The sequence below is a fragment of the Homo sapiens genome, chromosome 8, assembly GCF_000001405.40.
Source record: "Homo sapiens chromosome 8, GRCh38.p14 Primary Assembly".
Classification (NCBI taxonomy): Eukaryota; Metazoa; Chordata; class Mammalia; order Primates; family Hominidae; genus Homo; species Homo sapiens.
The window spans coordinates 80,870,865-80,886,460 of record NC_000008.11 but is presented as its reverse complement, the minus strand read 5'-3'; the positions used below and the strand labels follow the sequence as shown (position 1 = coordinate 80,886,460).

Sequence of the window (15,596 nt, the reverse complement as noted above, 5' to 3'; positions counted from 1 at the left end):
GAAATTCCCTGGCTCCTGCTTAACCCTCTCCAGTTTCCTACCTATGCCCCTGAGAAAGGAGCCAGGAGAAACGGCCTACAGAGGAGGGCTACCAGTGACAGATAGCAGAGCGGGGGAAGGGCAAGGAATGGCCCTGATGTCAAATAGGCTGAGGACCAGCCCAGCCCCTTCACCAATACCCTCTCCAGATCTCTTTTTTTTCTTTTCTTCTCCTTTTTTTTGGGGGGGTGGGGGGGTGGGGACAGAGTCTCACTCTTTCACCCAGGCTGGAATGCAGTGGTACGATCTCAGCTCACTGCAACCTCCACCTCCCAGGTTCAAGCGATTTTCCTGCCTCAGCCTCCTGAGTAGCTAGGACTACAGGTGTGTACCCCCACACCTGGCTAATTTTTTGTATTTTGAGTAGAGACGGGGGGTTCACCCTGTTGGCCAGGCTGGTCTGGAACTCCTGACCTTAAGCAATCTGCCTGCCTTGGCTTCCCAAAGTGCTGGGATTACAGGCATGAGCCACCGCCCCCGGCCCCCAGATCTATCTCTTAAACATCAAACAACTATCACGCAACTTCACCTGGATGTCTGTGGGCATCTGAAACTTGATATTTCCTAAATGGTGCTATGTCCCCCACCAAGCCTGCTCCCCAACCTCAGTGACTAGCACTAAGATCACCTAGTCCCTGTAGTTCAAAACAGACAATTGTCCCTGGTTCCTTCTTTTCTTGTTCTGCCCACATCCTGTTGGTCACCAGGTTTGGTTGATTTCTGCTTTGGAAATATTTCTCAAATCCACCCTCACCTCAATTTATCCTCTGTGGTAGCTTTACTTCAGACCCTCTTCATTTCCCCTGGACTAAAGCAGGTCCCCCTGACTCTATGACTATTCCCTTCAGGTCTCCCTTCTATGCTGCTGCCATAATACCTTCCTAACATACACATTGAACCACATACCTCACTTGCTCAAAACTTCAGAGTTTTTCCAACAAGATCCTAAAGGAGAGTCTGAAGAAATGAAGTGGAGGACACCCTAAGACACACAGCTTTGCCTCAAGTATATTGTACCCACCATTCCCACTGTTATATGAAAAAGCTGGAGACAAGGCCCACTTCCTAGACATGCAGCCTGTACTGTCACCCAGGGCCTCTTGCTTGGAAGAGCCCATGCTTGGTTTAACGCCCTTCTGTCTCCGTCTTGAAATTCATGATAATTTTGAACAAGGAGTCCTGCATATTTATTTTATCCTGGGCTCTGCAAATTATGTAGCCTGGCCAGGAATATCTACAGGCCTAAAAAAACACAAGCTGAATGCTATTCTGAAAGATGGCAGCTCATACACTTAGGGTGACATTGGATTTTAGATTCTAGAAGATATAAATACCCTGGGTAGGGGATCACTGATTATTTGCAAGGTATGTAAAAGGGATACAGAGATCATTAGGAGAAACAAGCTGAACATGAATTGAGAATAAGATAAAGGCATTTAATGCTGATGAGAAAATGGTATCACTTATAGTAGAATAACGCAGAAGTAATGTTGGAAAAAACCTTGTGAAACAACATAGGTAAAATGATTATGGTGTGGTGGCTGGAACTCTGTATTGAAAACCTATTGGAAAAGATTTGGAAACAAATATTAAGGATCATTATTTTTATATCCAAGATCATCACTAGCTATTTCCTCTCTGCACTGAAAACTGAATAAGGGAAAGTGGCAACTCAGGATAAATAGACGAAAACCTTTTTGTGTATGTGTGGATTTTTATATATAACATAATAAATTAGCGAAGACCCAAGACTATTCTTGTGTTTTTCTTGCTGGTCACTCTTCTTCTCCCTTCCTCTTTCTTCTTCTTCCTTTCCTGTTTCTCTTTATTTTTCTTCTCCTCACTCCTCTTAAGTTCTGGAAAGCAGCAAGGAGAAACAGTATTTATTTTGAAATAAAGGTTTTGATTGAAATTCCAGCTTCGGCCAAGCCAGCTTTGCCTGCTGTGTGGCAATAGGAAGCAAGATATCAGGTGGCAGGATGGCCGTGACTAGATAAATATATGGAGCCACTGGGGGCATGAGGATAATGGGGTTTATATGGAGGAGGTGGTGGGACAAGCAGCTCCACCATAGCTTTTATAGGAATGCGACAAAAATGTTGCAAGTAACCTCTGCATCCACAGTCAAAGAAATGGAAGGTAATCAAGGCTGCTCCACCCACTGCCTTCCCCAGCCCTCCTTCTTTCTTGCACATTGTCGACCGGAAGGACAGTCTTTATATCTACAATGGTTTAAGGAAAATTCTTTATCCTGGCAAGTATGGTAAGTACCGAGGAATTTTTACACTTCTTACAAAATTCTGTCTCACTCTCAATTTTTTCATATTAACAGGCATAACAACAAAAAGAAATTTATGACTAGCTTTTAAGAAATCCCAGTGGCATTTATATCAGCATATGCTGATGTCTCATTCTATTTTATGGCTTTCAAGACTCCCATGATAGGTTGCTGGGGTTAATTTAGGTACTTCTTCCCCTGGAAGAGCTTGAGATAAAATAACAAACATAGAAACTAAAATGGTGTAGATAAAAATAGCACTGGAGGCAAAGGGGATAGATTAGGAGCTTTTGACATCTGTCATCAAACCTCGAAATACCCTAATTGGAAACCTGATGAAGGTAATAAATGAGAGTTGTTAAAAATAAGCTCAAATTCAAAACATTTAATTTTTAAAATTAGGTAGATAGATGAGAAAAAAACATAGTTATGGTAGTTTCGATTTGCAGCAAAGAATCCTGGGTGTGATTTTTCTTTTTTAAATTTTCTCAGTCAGATCTACCTAAAAATGGATCTGGAAAGTAGAAAATGACCCTTGGAAGGTTTGAGCCTTCATCATCCAACATGATAGCCACTAGTCACATGTGGCTATTCATACTTTAATTAAAAGTAAATAAAATTAAAACTTCTATTCCTTATTTGCAGCAGCCACATTGCAAGTGCTCCATAGCTGCATGTGGCTGGTGGCTGCTGTTACTGAACAGCACAGATATAGACCATTTCCATCACTGCAGAATGTTCTAGCAGGTGAGCCATTTGTATGCTCACATTTATATTAATGTTAAATACATTAAAATGGCTAGGTTTAGTATTTTGGAAAACATTGCTTATTAGAGGTATTATGCTAATTATTATTTGATCCTTAAAATATTTCTTTCTTTTTTTTTTTTTTTTTTTTGAGAGGGTGTCTCACTCTGTCACCCAGGTTGGAGTGCAGTGGCGTGATCTCAGCTGACTGAAACCTGTCTCCCAGGCTAAAGCAATTCTCCCACTTCAGCCTCCTGAGTAGCTGGGACCATAGGTGTGCACTGCCATGCCTGGCTAATTTTTTTTTTTTTTTTTTTTTTTTGTAGAGACAGGGTTTCATTATGTTGCCCAGTCTGGTCTTGAACTCCTGAGTTCAGGTGATCAACATGCCTCGGCCTCCCAAAGTGCTGGAGTTACAGGCATGAGCCACCACACCTGGCCATTAAGCCTAGAAATATTTCTATTAGGATGAAGGATTAATTAAGGGTTATTAATTAAAATACAGAAAGAAAGGCATGTAAGCAATAACTAAGTAAATGAGAATCAAATCTGCAAACTAAACTTTAAAAATTCTTCCCAGCAATAGCACATCACTGTAGTAAAAAGAAATTATGATGTGACATAAGCAAGTAAAAAAATAGTAGTCGTTGAAATGAAGACTTGCTGCAGGTCAATTTATAAAAGGAAATCAAAATTGAAGGAAAATGATAATGGATGAAGTCTAGCAGAGGTCATTAGTACAAACATTGGTGGAAAACAGGAATAATTTGTAAATAAGTTCAATGAAGAAAGGAAAAGAAAGGCCCATATGTAAATCTAAAGAATTAGCAAGAAAATGTGAAGAAATTGAACAACAAAGCTAGAGAAGTATTTGCAGAAAATATGGCAATAGGGTTTTTAATGCCAAGGGCTCACACAAGTGGATATGAAAAACTCTGATTCTATCAGGGTTATGGGCAAAGGATAAGAAAATAATGTGCAGAAGGGGAAGTAAAACTTGAACACATGGGAAACTATTTTTCTTCATTAATGATCAAAGACATAAATTAAAACAAAATGAAATTTCATGAAACATTTGTCAAAGTGGCAAGGGAGAGAATGATAGAAAAAGACATGATTAAAGTAAGAGAGCATGCAGGACGCCAGCCACTTTCTTGTGGTTTTCAGAGTGCACATTGCAGCAAACTCTTTCGTAAAGCCGTCTAGTCAAACGTATCAAGAAAATGTGCATGCTATTTGACCAACTGATTCTACTTCTGGCACTGATCCTAAGGAAAGAATCCAAAAGGTATATAATACTTTCTGTACAAAGGTTGGCGGCACTATATTACATAGCAAGATGTGGTGAAATCATTGCACAGCTTGACACAATATTCTGTAGTAAGAATTTTGCTATGAAGAGTTTTTACTCTTTATTTTTAAATTAACTGTAATATTTGAATACACTTTTTTTAATTGTTATTATTTTTGAGACAGAGTCTCGGTCTGTTGCCCAGGCTGGACTGCACTGGCGCTATCTCAGCTCACTGCAACCTCCACCACCCAGGTTTAAGTGATTCTCCTGCCTCAGCCTCCCGAATAGCTGGGATTACAGGTGCCCACCACCATGCCCGGCTAATTTTTGTATTTTTAGTAGAGATGGGATTTTGCCTTGTTGGCCAGGCTGGTCTTGAACTCCTGACCTCAGGTGATCTGCCCACCTCGGCCTCCCAAAGTGCTGGGATTACAGGCATGAGCCACTGCGCCCTGCCTATTCTTTTTAACAAGGCAAAAAAATAGGGAAAGTGGGAGACTTCCTTTGTCTCCTCCCTGAAGCCTGTTCACCTCCCCAGAGGTTAGCAGGTATCCTACGGAGGCTTCCCCATATCCATCTGAAATCACACTATGTATTTTTTTTTACGCTATGTATTAATAGATGTATATAGTATATTTTGTAGGGTGTTTTAAATACAAATGAGATTATGTTGTAAAAAAGTATTTTATAGCTTGTTCTTTTCACTTAAAAATACATGAGTCCTTTCCTCCTTTCTCTTTTAGCACACAGTGACTTCCCTCACTCTTTGTAGTGGCTGCATAGTGGTTTGTACATCGTCAAAGACTTCTTTTTAAATCATTCTCATTTTGATGAATATTTATGCGGTTTTCAATATTTTGGTATTAAAACCAGTGCTGTAATAAGTATCCTCTCTGTATTCCTTTGTGCCACTAGGCACAGTGTTCCTCTAGGATGAATAACTAGAAATGGAATTGCTGGTTTCAACTGGCAACTGCATTGCACACACTGAAATAGTAAATATGTGTTACATAAAAAAGAAAGCAAAGCTACCATTTAACACTCACTAAAACAAAACCTAAGTCTTTGAGAAGCATGACAGATACTGCAGCAGAATACAGCCATGTCATGGATACATATAACAGCATACTCATACTCTCAGTAACCCTGAATAGTATCAAAGCTTTAGAATTTCTACAAGCCTGGTAAGCAAATATTATATCTAAGTGTTTTAGTAACACTGAATTATTTGCATTTTGCTGCATATTAATTCTTGATTTTATGTTGATAATATTTTCTATCTTTCACTTACTTTAAAACTTTTTAATGGTGTCTTTTGTGAAAAAGTCTACAAGTTTTTTGTGATCATATATCACCTTTTGGCTATGGCCCTGACTTGGTATCAAGTTTAAAATGGCTATCATTCCCTAGAGGTTATAAAAATATTCATGCATATATTCTGTTAATATTTTTATGATTCATTTTTACCCTACTAGCTCCATAAACATCTACAAGTTATATACCACCATGTGCAAAAGAAAATCTCTCATTATAAAATTAGGTGGAAAAATAATGTGAGACAAAAAGGATGATGCATAGAAAAGAAATGAAAATAAATATACCAAAAACAATTACAGGGGTTATCTTTGGGTAGGGAGGTTAGATGTGACTTTTATCCCTTCTACAAATTTGTATGTTTCAGATTTGTGATAGTATTGATTATATTTATAACATATGGTGGCCTTTCATGTTCTTTTTCTGCTCAATACAGTAATCATTCTTTTTCTCTTGAACTACATGGTTTGGTGCAGGCCATCCATCACAGCCATCCACCCTTGGCCACAAGTGTCCGCTCATGATTCGGACTGGGCCATCCAGAAATCATTCACTGGGATTTTTCCAGCTGATGCACATAGCAAAGACTTCCTCTGCACCTGTTCACAAGGTGGACAAGTGTGTGGCCAGAGCTGCCTGTGGATCTGGCTCTAGTCGGCCAGATAATGAAATAAGTTTCACACACACTCTGAGAGAGAGAGAGAAAGAAGGAGAGAGACAGAAGAGACAGACAGAGACAGAGACAGAGACAGAAAGACAGAGGACCACACATCACTTAAAGCCCCACATCTAATTTTCCCAAGCTCAGGTTCATGTGTGGTTGGATTACCCAAGCTGATAAATTCCTCTTCTGCCCTGTTTTTTTTCTTTAGTGTGAGTAGGATTGCAGTTACTGACACCAGAAGGGTCTTGCATGAAAAAAGCTGTAAGAAAAGGAAGATGGAGAGAAAAGCCTCAGAGATATGAAAATATCATTAGTAGGAAATAATTACACATCTTAGATTGAACAATTATCAGTTTGTGGAAAGGGAGGTTAATACAAATAATAAAACATAGAAACTACTTGGTTCATGGCTGTTAGGCATCTTATTACTGAAGAAATAACTAGCAAAATAAGAAGGTAACAAGAAAATGCATAATTTTATAATTTCTGTATTCCCAACGAAGCAGGGAAGGCTCATGAAATTAAGGGTGATGTTGTTAGGAACAGAGATGGCAGTCCTAAGATACAGACAGCACCTAGAATTGGCTTAAAAGAGACACCCAGTCCCAGCACATTGAGAAGCTGAGGTGGGTGAATCACTTGAGCCCAGAAGTTCAAGACCAGCCTGTACATAGTGAAACCCTGCTTCTACTAAAAATACAAACAAATAAACCCCCAAAAACTAGCTGAGCGTGGTGTTGCATGCCTGTGGTCCCAGCTACTCTGGAGGCTGAGGTGGGAGGACAGCTTCAGCCCAGGAGGTAGAGGTTGCAGTGATCTGTGATTGAGCCACTGCACTCCAGCCTGGGCAACAGAGCGAGACCCCATCTCAAAAAAAAAAAAAATTGACATGCATTTCTTAACATACACACTAGACTCCATTTGTGGATTTTAATAATGGGTATTTGGCTTAATCTTAAAACAGACTTCAAGTTGACATTTTATATCATGGAACTTGAGAGTTAAAATGAGAGAGCTCCTTGGGGAGCACAACTCATTCATATTAGAGTTGTGAACTCTGCAGAGATCAGGGGACTTAACTAGTGTTCCATGGCTAATAATCCCCACAGTATGATTCAACTCAAATCTCTGGAATCTCAATCCAGCGTTCTATTTATTGCCTCTCAAGTGCCAATATGAGATGACTAAACTGATCAGGAAACAACAAAGACAAAATTGCACCTACTGAAATAGTAAATATGTGTTACATAAATAAGAAGGCAATGCTATCATTTTAACACTCACTAAAAAAAAAACCTAAGTCTTTGAGAGGTATTGTAAGGAACTAGTATTTTGAAAGTACTGTGTGTTTTGAAAGAGAGTTTAAGTTAATTGCTCATGGAAGAAACATTTATCTGGGTGGAGATTATGCTTGACTTAGACAGGCTTTCAGCCTGAAGGTTGTAATAGATGAGTTATTCTCTTAACCTTAATCTATTTTTCATACGGTGGGATGACAGTCATCAAATGAAATCATTTTTAAGTTTCCCAGAACTGTGGAAAAACTAAGCTAATCTTACTTTCATAAGCTTTTTAAAGGGCAAAATTTTACTTTTACTTTTAAAATAATTTTTAAAAGGAGCTACTAATCTCAACAAATCCAACTATTAAAGTTTCACAGGGACAAAAAAGAACTACCACCAGTGGGTACAAATTTGTTATATGTTTTGTTCTGGCTATGGTTACACCTCTTGATTTTGGAAACATGATTATTTTGCTGAATCTTAAATTTTAAAAAAACACTGAACATAATGTCAAATTGAGCCTGATTTTCTTCCTTCCTTCCTTCCTTCCTTCCTTCCTTCCTTCCTTCCTTCCTTCCTTCCTTCCTTTCTTTCTCTTTCTTTCTGATACATGTAAAAAAAATGTTTTAGTTATCTTTAGGGCTCAGAACTCAAAGGTTTAAGAATCACTGGAGATCTGAAGAAACCAGACAGGAGCCAGCCAGCTACTATGTGTTTAGGGAGTGATGCTCACTCCAAAGCCTACTCTCGTTCTTCCGCAGCAGTGCTTCTCAAACTTTGACCAAAGCACGCGGACAGTAGGGGAGAATGGATTCTATCTGCAGGAAGAAGACAGAGTCCAGGGCTGCGAGTTTTCATTCAAAGTTCACACTAAACTTCACACTATTCTTATGTCTGTTTTAATATAAAGAAATACGCTTTGAAATGCACATTTCTTTATACTAAACCTCCAGCACCTTCTACCCCTCCTTTTATTTTTCCCTTACTTTTTCATGTAGACACTTAATGCCTCCACAAAATCATATTGTTCACTTATCTTCTTTGATTATTGTCTGCTTCCTCCCCGAGGGAGGGTTATTTTGTTCGCTGCTGCACGCCAGCACCAAGAACAAGACCTGGCACTTGTCAGGACTCAACAAATCCATGCAGAATGAACGATGAAATGTTTTAGATGAGGATGTGTTCAATCCAACTGTTCTGGAGGGGCTCCTTCTTTATCCCATGGCTCAGAGGCACATTTCCTCATTCTGAGTGGCAAGCGCTCCCAGTTTTGGAAGAAAAAAATGTGTTACACTTAGGGAATGTGGGGGAAAGAAGCAGCAATGACTCTTCCCCACTTGCTTGGCATCACAAGATACTTTTTGACTTCTGAGCCCATGTCATGCATGTAGTGTGTCATGTGCCCACATCATGAGATCTTTTCTTGATTCCTGATGAGTTAATTTGATTTTATTCCCACTAAGTGTCCTCTGATTTAATGAGGGTGGTCTTCAGTGGCCTGCACTTGCCTAGACAATGCTGCTCTCCCTGCCTGAACAGATCCTTCTCATCCCTCAAAGCCCAGCTTGGGTGAAACCTCTTTTTTGACATTAGCCTTCATTTAATGGTTTGAAAGCCAAGGCCAGGTCTTTTTTTTTTTTTTTTTTTTTTTTTTTTCCCATTCAGAGGCAGCCTTTCCAGCAATGTGGGGCCAGGGAATGGATGTCTATGAAGTCTATTGAAGTGGCCTAAGAGAAACAATAAGCTGATTTCAAAGCATATACAGCAATTTTAAAAGAATGTACAATAGTGTATCATCTTTCACTAAGTCACAAATGCCAATCACCAATTCATTTAACTCTGTATTTCCTCTAGGTTCTCAGGAAAACATTTACTTTCTTTCATCTATAGCAATTTTAGGCACAAAAAGCTACATGCTTGGCCTGACCATGGTCCTCCGATGACAAGTTGTTGGTCTTTAAAAGCACATTTTGCTAGTTACTGACATTACTGAGCTTACTTAAAAGAGAGCTACCTTGTTATTCTCTGAGAGTATCCCAAGCCACCTTGTTTACCTACCATTACAATGTTTAGTATGATAAGCCCGCATATAAACCCTAGCTTGTCCCAGGCACTCTTGTAAGCTGATTGCATTTATTCACTCATTACTCTGCAAAACAACTTTACTACTATGATCCCCATTTCACAGATGAGGAAACAGGCACAGAAAGAGGATGAGTAAAAGTAAAGCTGGTAAGTTCCAGAGTCAGGATTCGGACCTAGGTGCTCCTGAGACCATGTGCCTAACTACTAGCCAGCTTGCCTCACACCTTTGTCCTCCTCCACCTCCTCCATACCTGTCTGCCCACCCCTTGCCCCGATCTTTCCTTTTCATGGCCAGAGAAAGATCCTGCTGCCTCACTCTAAAATCATCTCCCAAATCAACGAAGCTAAATTTCTTCCAATTGGGATGAAACCACCTTAATGTTCTTTCTTAATTCTTTGCACACTCTAGCTGATACTGATTATTCACTTATTGGCTAGCCCCTGCTATTCCATGCTTTGATCAGACACACCCATCTCTTAATGTTCTGTTTTCTTCTCTCTGAATTCCTGAACAGAATATTTACAAATATAAAGTCCAACAAGAAAATGGTGTGATCTAAATGGGGTTTCGGAAACATAAATCTGGTGGTGGCATCTGAGGAGGGAAAGGGAGGGTGTGTGGGTGAGAAAATGGGTGTGTAGAACTGTTAGAAACTTCCACTTTTGAAGTCACAAAATGCTGTAAGAGCTTTGGGAATGGAAAGGAAGGGGTGGATTCAAAATGCATTTTAGAAAGAACAATGGGTTGGACTTGTGGGCAATTGCCTCTAGGGATAAGGTAGAGAAGGGAGTTAAAATGATACCGCTATTTTGGGCTCAAATGATTATAATGAGAGTTTCATCACCTGAAATAGGTACATCAGGAAGCTAATCTGATTCAGGGAGAACAAAAAGTTCATTTTAGAATCTTTGTCATCATCCCTGTTCAACAGTTGGAAGCCACCATAAGTGAGCATTTAATGAGCCCCATTCAAGTGTCTAACAGAGCATATGATGTTAAATGTCCAACAATAATTAACTGAAGGTGAATACACCTTTTATTCTGGCCCCACGGAGGTGCCTACCAGGGTATTTGATGCGTAAGATCCTCCCCAGCCCTCCTCTACAGGGATGGAATTGGGGGTATGATTTGAATGTAAGAAATACGACTTAAGGCCGGGCACGGTGGCTCACACCTGTAATCCCAGCACTTTGGGAGGCCAAGGCAGGCAAATCATCTGAGGTCAGGAGTTTGAGACCAGCCTGGCCAACATGGTGAAACCCTGTCTCTACGAAAAATACAAAATTAGCATGGCATGGTGGAGCGCGCCTTTAATCCCAGGTACTCAGGAGGCTGAGGCAGGAGAATCGCTTGAACCCAGGTGGCGGAGGTTACAGTGAGCCCAGACCATGACATTGCACTCCAGCCTTGGCAACAAGAGCGAAACTCCATCTGAAAAATAAAGAAATATATATAAATAAAAATTAAAATAAATAAAAGAAGAAATACCACTTACTACATAGCCTAACCCCACGCAATAGCAAATATATTTTCTTTATCACACCTAAAAATCGTCAGAAAATGGCAAAATTAGTCATGTTATGTGCTTGATTTCCAGATTTGGTCTTACTTCATATTAATTTCTTAAGTAACCAACTCAAACGATCTTGAACTCCCACCCATTTGTTTCTTCAAAGTCCTGAACAATGCCAGAAGAGAGTCTACAGATCAGACAGTGCAAACAGAAAGCTTCTTGGAATTCAGCCATTAAAATCAGGCACTCAAGGTAGAATAGCAGGAGTAAAAGCTGAAAGACCTACACACTCAGCACAGAGCCAAGGCAGCTCAATCGCAGGGCCTAGAGTGGTGCGTTCAAAGAGTGTGAGATTGGTAGACAATCGCTCATGAAACAGTGTTTCGAAAATCTAAGCGACTCTGATGATTCATATTAGGAATTCATCCCAAACCTCAGATTGGTACACCTTCCTTGATTTCACACAAGCTCAGGAGTAGCTGCCATGCACATCAGTGTCCATTAAAATGACTTGTAGCAAATCTCTACGTTCAAAGTCTAACTTTGACAGACAACCTTACTTCCAGCGAAGTCTACTCCCCTCCCTCCGGAGGGAAGAATGGGCTGCGGTTAAGCGTTTGCCCTGGTGTCAGGGCCAACTGCTTCGAAGCGCCAGACTTTCGGAGACTGTGGGTAAGAGAAAAAAAAAATCCAGTCCGGGTTTTGTCTGAGCGGGGGGACCGGAGGGTTGTGAGGAATGGCTCGCGAAGAGGGGGGCGGTGGTGGAAAACATACAACACAAACAGCTCGCGCCGAGGCACGGCAGCGGTAGGCCCGGAGCGCGCGGGCGCAGCCGGCCGGGAGAGGCGCGCGCGGGCTCGGCCGCCGGCCGCATGGAGCGCAGCGCGGCCCGCGGCTCCCGGGCGGCGGCGGCGGCGGCGGAGGCGGCAGCGCGCCGCTCGCTCACACCCACCCCCGCCCGCGGCCGCCGCGCCGCCCCGCCGTAGCCGCCGGCCGCCGGCGTCCCCGCCGGCCGGTCCAGCGAAGGCGGCGCCCGCGCCTCTGCAGCCAGTGGCAGCCGCGGGTCCTGGCCGGCGGCTCCTGCAGCCCCTTGCGGCCGCGAGTCCCCGGCCCTGCGGCCACCGGCGGAGGCAGAGGAGGAAGAGGAGGTGACAAACTCTCCGGCCCCGCGCCGCGGCCCGCAACCCCGCGCTCAGGCATGCAGGCGCGGCGTCTAGCCAAGCGCTCCAGCCTGGGCAGCCGCCGGGGGGGCGCCGCGCTGCAGCCTGCCGGGCCGGCGCCCGCGCCCGCCAAGGAAGCCGCCCTACCCGGGCTCCCGCCCCCTGTCCCGGGCCCGGCCCCGGCGCCCGCCCCGGAGAGCTGGAGGCCGCCGCTGCCGCCGCCGCCGCGCAGCGCCGGGACCGGCCCCCCTCGGGCCACCGGGGCCGCCGCCGCCGCCTCGTCGCCGGTGCTGCTGCTTCTAGGGGAGGAAGACGAGGACGAGGAGGGCGGGAGCAGGCGGCGGAGGGGGCTCGGGCGTGTGGAGGAGAAGCCCCGAGGGGGCGCGGAGGAGGAGGATGACGACGAGGAAGAGGAGGACGAGGAGGTGGTCGTCGAGGTGGTGGACGGCGACGAAGACGACGAGGACGGCGAGGAGCGTTTCGTGCCCCTCGGACCCGGCCACGCAGTCCCCAGGGGCCCGGCCCGGGGCGCGTTGAAGGTGCGTGTTGGGCGCGGTGGCGCGCGTGGGACCCGCCAGCCCGGGGAGGGGGACGGGCCCGGGCCCCGGGGCAAGGCGCCTGGCCGAGGACGGTCAGCGGCGCCGGGGAGAGACCCGGCCAGGAGGGGTGTGTCAGGCGGCGCGGGCGGCCGCGCGGGGCAGCGCGAGGAACTGTTGATTTGCCTGCGCCTTGGGCCCCTGCGTCTCTCCCAGGCGGCGGCTCCCGCTTTCCTCAAAGGCCGTGTCGGGTTTGTTGTTTGGTGTGGGTGCCGGGAAAGGGCGCTTCTCCCCAGTGAGGTGGGGAACTTGGGTGATGGGACCACGGAGGCGCCGGTTCGTGCCCGGTGGGGACGGGTGAGGCAGGGGAGAGTGAGATTTTATTCTCCCCCAAGGAAGGAGTGTCCCCTTCTCCTTATTTTGAGGGCTATTCAAGCTTATTGAAACCAGAAAGCGGTGTTTCTTGTCAATCTCTCAGCCCCTTCTTCCAACCAAGAACAATTGTCGATGAGTTTCCATCACAGGCGCTTGTGAGAGAACCGGTAAACCCAGTACAGCAAAATCCAAGCCCTTGGTTTCCACATGCATTTTGCTAGCAGTTTTTGGCATTGACCCTCGCCCTCCCGTGTTTCCACTCGACATCATTTAGCGTTTGAGGTTTTTTTCCCTCCTCAAAATTGCAAATGAGAAAAAAAGAGGAAACCAGGAAAAGGGGGTGGGGGGTAGCATTTAAATTGGATGTGAGTTTCTGCTGAGAATTCTAGCGAAGTCCCCTGTACACTGAAGCGCCGAGAGATTTTTCCGTTTGTGTATCTTCAGGAGATAAGGGGTTTATTATTACACAACTGACTGGTTGGGCTTTCAGGCATGCTATTGGACAAAGCAAACCACGTTGAGATTCATGCACGGTGTATGTTGCTAAGAAGTTTTGAGGGCAGCAAGTGGTAAGCAATGGAGTGAGTGATTTTTCTCAAGAGTGGTTCCTAAAATCAGCTGAATAACATTTTACCAGAGTTTTCAGAAGGTATTGGTATTTCAGGAAGAAAAAAAACTCATGAACAGCTGAGCTTAATAGTTAGAGACCACTAAAAAAAGCTTTGGGGGCTCACCAAAAAAAGCTCCTCAAAGCTTGAAGTTGCATTTCCAAAGAAATGTTGAACATCGGCAATTAGAATAGCCCCAGAGTAGATGTGGGCAGAAATTTATTTCCTAGACCACCCTGGAAGTACCAGCTCTGGGAGTGAGAAATTTTCAGCAAGTAGTTATTTGGGATGATAGTTTTTGACAGCTGCTTGTTGAAATCCAAACCGTGACCACATTCATTACCATGGTCTGTTGAAAAGCCTGCATTGTATGGCTACAAGATATAGCTGGGTTTGAAATGAAGTCACATGGTGTCAGTGACATTGAATATCAAGAGTAGTGACTCCTTAGCATTTTTGTCCAGAAATACTGAAAGTGTGTCCTGTGGTTTGAATAGTGATTGCACAATTTGTGATAGAAACAATAATAATTTATGCTCTGTGATGAAAACAAGCTTAATATAGGGAAAAAATCAAATCCGTAAAAACAGAATAATGAGTGTGATAATTCACTTGATCAGTAAAGGTTTTTCACATCTTCAAGTAAATTTCCTTTAAATTCTTTCAAAATGGGCTTCATTTTATAACACTCTCATTTGCCCACAACTTCAGAAATTTACACAGAATGTTGGAGTCATTTGAGGTTTATCTTTTAAATTACTCTTTTAAAGACACTGTATCTGAAGAGATTTTCTAATGGAATATCACTAGATAATTTTATTATAATGCATATACGAATGTTAACCTCTTACATATATTCATGCATTCATTTATTCAACAAATATTTATTGAACACCTATTATGTGCTAGCAGCTATTCTAGAACATAGCAGTGGACACCTTCCTGATGCTCACATCTAGTGAGAGGCATCATAGCAACAATCAAATACATAGATGCAGATGTACATGCATAAGCAAGAATAACACTTCAGATTGTGGTGTGTCCTGTGAAGAAAATCATGATATCTTAGAGTTTCAAAGGAAGAAGAGAAAGCTACTGTGGGTGAGATCTCTCTGAGGAGGGAACATTTGACCTGAGATATGAGACATTTCGCATGGGAAGAGCTTTCCAGGCAGAGGGAGTAGCAGTTGCAAGTCTTGAGGTGGAAAGGAGAAAAGGGTGAGTGTGGCTGGAACTTGGTAGGTATGAGATATGTCAAGGAGGCTGGGAGGTGCCTGCAAAGAGAGCCTGGTGGGCCCTTTAAAAGGATAGTGAAATCTTTGAAAAGTTTTAAGCAATAAAGTCTTACAAGGTAATTTGTAGTTTTCAAAAGATCCATGCTGTGTGGAGGACAGTAGTAGAGGCAGGGAGGCCAGTTGGGTGGCTGTCACTACACAGACCAAGGGAGGGAGAGGGCAGCTTGGAGTTAGAGATTGGCAGGAGATGGCAAATTCAGAATCTATTGTGAGGATCAACCTACAAGAACTTGTGGATGGGTTGGTTGATGGGTAATGAAGGAAAGGGAGGAATCCAGGATGAGACCATGATGTAAATGTTGGTTGAAGGTACCATTTACTAAGATTAGGAAAACCGAGAGAACAAAAATCAGGTTTTCTGTTTTGTGCATGTGAATTCTGAGATGACTATTGGACAACCAGGT

At 43.3% G+C, this 15,596-nt stretch overlaps 1 protein-coding gene across 4 annotated transcripts in view, besides 1 other annotated feature; it reads left to right on the top strand.

The window, feature by feature from the left end:
- Nucleotides 1-2,041: 2,041 nt before the first annotated feature.
- ZNF704 (zinc finger protein 704) overlaps nucleotides 2,042-15,596 on the top strand; it is a 255,969-nt gene continuing 242,414 nt past the window's right edge. For 2 of the 4 annotated variants that reach the window (XR_928797.3, NM_001367783.1), the window contains exon 1: nucleotides 11,993-12,917. Coding sequence is in view for 2 of the 4 variants with exons in the window: in NM_001367783.1 (NP_001354712.1) it covers nucleotides 12,417-12,917 (501 nt within the window). In the remaining 2 variants the exon portion in view is untranslated. Of the gene's footprint in view, nucleotides 2,303-11,679; nucleotides 11,891-11,992; nucleotides 12,918-15,596 lie in introns of those variants that run through there. The other 2 variants (XM_017013725.2, NM_001033723.3) reach the window with 2 other exon arrangements.
- Nucleotides 12,801-13,001: a silencer, noted in NCBI's record as "peak7088 fragment used in MPRA reporter construct". NCBI's record gives its function as "represses an SCP1 promoter by STARR-seq MPRAs in K562 erythroleukemia cells {active_cell/tissue: K562}" and the evidence as "EXISTENCE:reporter gene assay evidence [ECO:0000049][PMID:32103011]".